At 35.5% G+C, this 2721-nt stretch overlaps 1 annotated feature.

Moving 5' to 3' along the window:
* Positions 468 to 1667: an enhancer, noted in NCBI's record as "P300/CBP strongly-dependent group 1 enhancer chr12:11512579-11513778 (GRCh37/hg19 assembly coordinates)". NCBI's record gives its function as "activates an origin of replication core promoter dependent on BRD2, BRD4, P300/CBP, MED14 and CDK7 cofactors, with strong dependence on P300/CBP, by STARR-seq in HCT116 cells {active_cell/tissue: HCT116}" and the evidence as "EXISTENCE:reporter gene assay evidence [ECO:0000049][PMID:35650434]".

The following is a 2721-nucleotide window of genomic DNA, read 5'->3' as shown; positions in this document are numbered from 1 at the left end:
TATACATTTTAGTGCATATTCTGCATCAAAGTTTGATCATTCTTCTTCAACTGAATCCTGTGCATTTCTTGCTATTTGATCCTAGGTATTTTATATTGTTCTCATGAATAAGGTCATTCACTCATTTCTCTCTCTCTGTCTCTCTCTCTGTCTGTCTCTTTCCTTTCTTTGTCTTATGCTGTTCCCTATGATGTGCATGTCTTAGGGAAAGTCAATCACATTAAGATTTTATTTCTACCTTTGAAAAGTGAACATAAATGCAAAAAATCCTCAAAGTGCTATTGTAAGTACTAGAAGAGCTAAGGCATCAGAAACATCACTATGCAAGGTAGAAAGGAATAATCCATAAATCTTTAGCTATGTAGCCATGCATGTGTAGAAATATAATATATGATATAGGTAGCAATTGGGTCACTGAAACAAAGTCAGTTATTGAATATTGTTTAGAGACAATTTTGTATCCAATCATTTTTAAAATGAATGTTCTATCTCTGTCACACAGCATGGACTTCCTCACAGCATGTGTCAGGTTCCATAAAGAACAATTTGGAATTGCATGGCATTTCTATGATACAGACTCAAAAGTCACAAAGTATCACTTCTGATATAATCTACTGGTCATGGCAGTAATGCAGTTCTACCCAAGCTCCAAGGGGGTAAAAACAGACCTCATCCCTTCAAGAGAGGATGTCAAGGTACCATTGTAAGAAGAAAACATTAGATGAATGATTCTGTTGTGATCACATTTTAAAAACAATTTCCAAGATGATAAATATGCATACATGTGGACTTCAAAATCAATGAGATAGAATAATAATTTGTGGTTCTTACGCAGAAAAGACAACATCTTTTGTATGACATAGGGAAAGGTTTATGTGTTTAATAAGTGAGTCATTGATTAGTCACTTTAGTGAAATTCCTATCAGCTTACTGACTTTGTACATGATCAGAAAAACATGAGGGTGACATACATTGCTTTGTATTTCTTATAAGTTGTGATTGTACTTCTCTATGAACTGATAGGATGTTTAACTGAAAGCTGAAGAATACACTCTGACATTGTGTGATGAGGCTACAGACACTTGACCTTAGGCTGATGACCAATGCCTTCTATGGCCCCAATCACTGAGGATGGTACACCGGCTCTGGGGCCAGGACACAGGTGACATCTTCATGCAGAAGACTGAAAGTTATGTAAGTGGTATATAGTTTATCCTTTCTTAGACAACTCTCTGATCAGACTCCCTCTTGGATTTCTAGAATTTTAGATCCATTGTGATTAGAAGGATCAAATTTAGTCAATTTAAAAGGGCATACACAAATTTTGTCAATGCTAATATGCCACCCAAGAAAAATGCATGTAGCATGGATTAAGGAAGTACATAGAGGATCTACATTGACAGGGTTTTGTAATTAGAAAAAAAAAGGAATTAATTCCTCTGAGTGTCTTTATATAAATACAAGGGGTAAAGCAGAATACTAGAATATGTTTAAATGGGATTATGATTTCAAACAAACATGTTTACTCAGGAAAATATATTTTCAGTCACCTCAGCTCTTAACGTCTCAGGAAAATTTAACCTTGAAAATATTCTAAGAGAAACTTGCTTTTGTTCTCTGAATCTCATTTCCTTTCACTTTCTTTTAGAGAAATGAATGAATGAAGAGCAAGTAACCAATGGAGCACAGTAGGCAAGAACTCAGCTCTGAGAACTGAATGCCTTCCATTCCACTTACTACCTTTATAGGAACCTAGGCACGCACCTAAGTCACCTCATCTACAAAATTAAGATAATAATAATCACACCTCCCTAATACGATGGTTCTGAAGATTGAATATCATATAGTAAATGCTGAAGAAATGTTTTCTATTATAATCAGCCTTTGCTAGGATAAATGGAAAGAATATAAATAAGCTCAAATAATTGTGAAATATATATATATTAGAGAGCATCAACATCAAATAAAAATGTAAAGATGAAGATCCTACTAATGTAACCAAAGTTTTTAGAAAAGTCCAAGCAACGCTGAATTCTTGAACACGACTGTATTATCAGAATAGTTGGTTTACTCAATGAACACAGTAAGTTGAGGAAGATTCTGTTTTCTGTTCCATTCACAGAGCTTTCACGTCTTCAAAAAGAGGGAGATGTGTGGGTGTGAGGGAGCTGAGGCATGAAACTTTTATCTTATTACAACTGCAGAAGAAAATCCTAAGAGCATTTGAAGCATAAAAGTGTTATGATCTAATTCCTAGGTTTTTAAAAAAATTTTATTATTATTATACTTTAAGTTTTAGGGTACATGTGCACAACGTGCAGGTTTGTTACATATGTATACATGTGCCATGTTGGTGTGCTGCACCCATTAACTCGTCATTTAGCATTAGGTATATCTCCTAATGCTATCCCTCCCTGCTCCCCCACCCCACAACAGTCCCTGGTGTGTGATGTTCCCCTTCCTGTGTCCATGTGTTCTCATTGTTCAATTCCCATCTATGAGTGAGAACATGTGGTGTTTGGTTTTTTGTCCTTGTGATAGTTTGCTGAGAATGATGGTTTCCAGTTTCATCCATGTCCCTACAAAGGACATGAACTCATCATTTTTTATGGCTGCATAGTATTCCATCCTGTATATGTGCCACATTTTCTTAATCCAGTCTATAGTTGTTGTACATTTGGGTTGGTTCCAAGTCTTTGCTATTGTGAATAGTGCTGCAAT

This window comes from Homo sapiens, chromosome 12 (genome assembly GCF_000001405.40).
Source record: "Homo sapiens chromosome 12, GRCh38.p14 Primary Assembly".
Lineage (NCBI taxonomy): Eukaryota > Metazoa > Chordata > Mammalia > Primates > Hominidae > Homo > Homo sapiens.
Note: the sequence above shows the minus strand (reverse complement) of the source record. Positions and strands in the feature narration are given on the sequence as shown.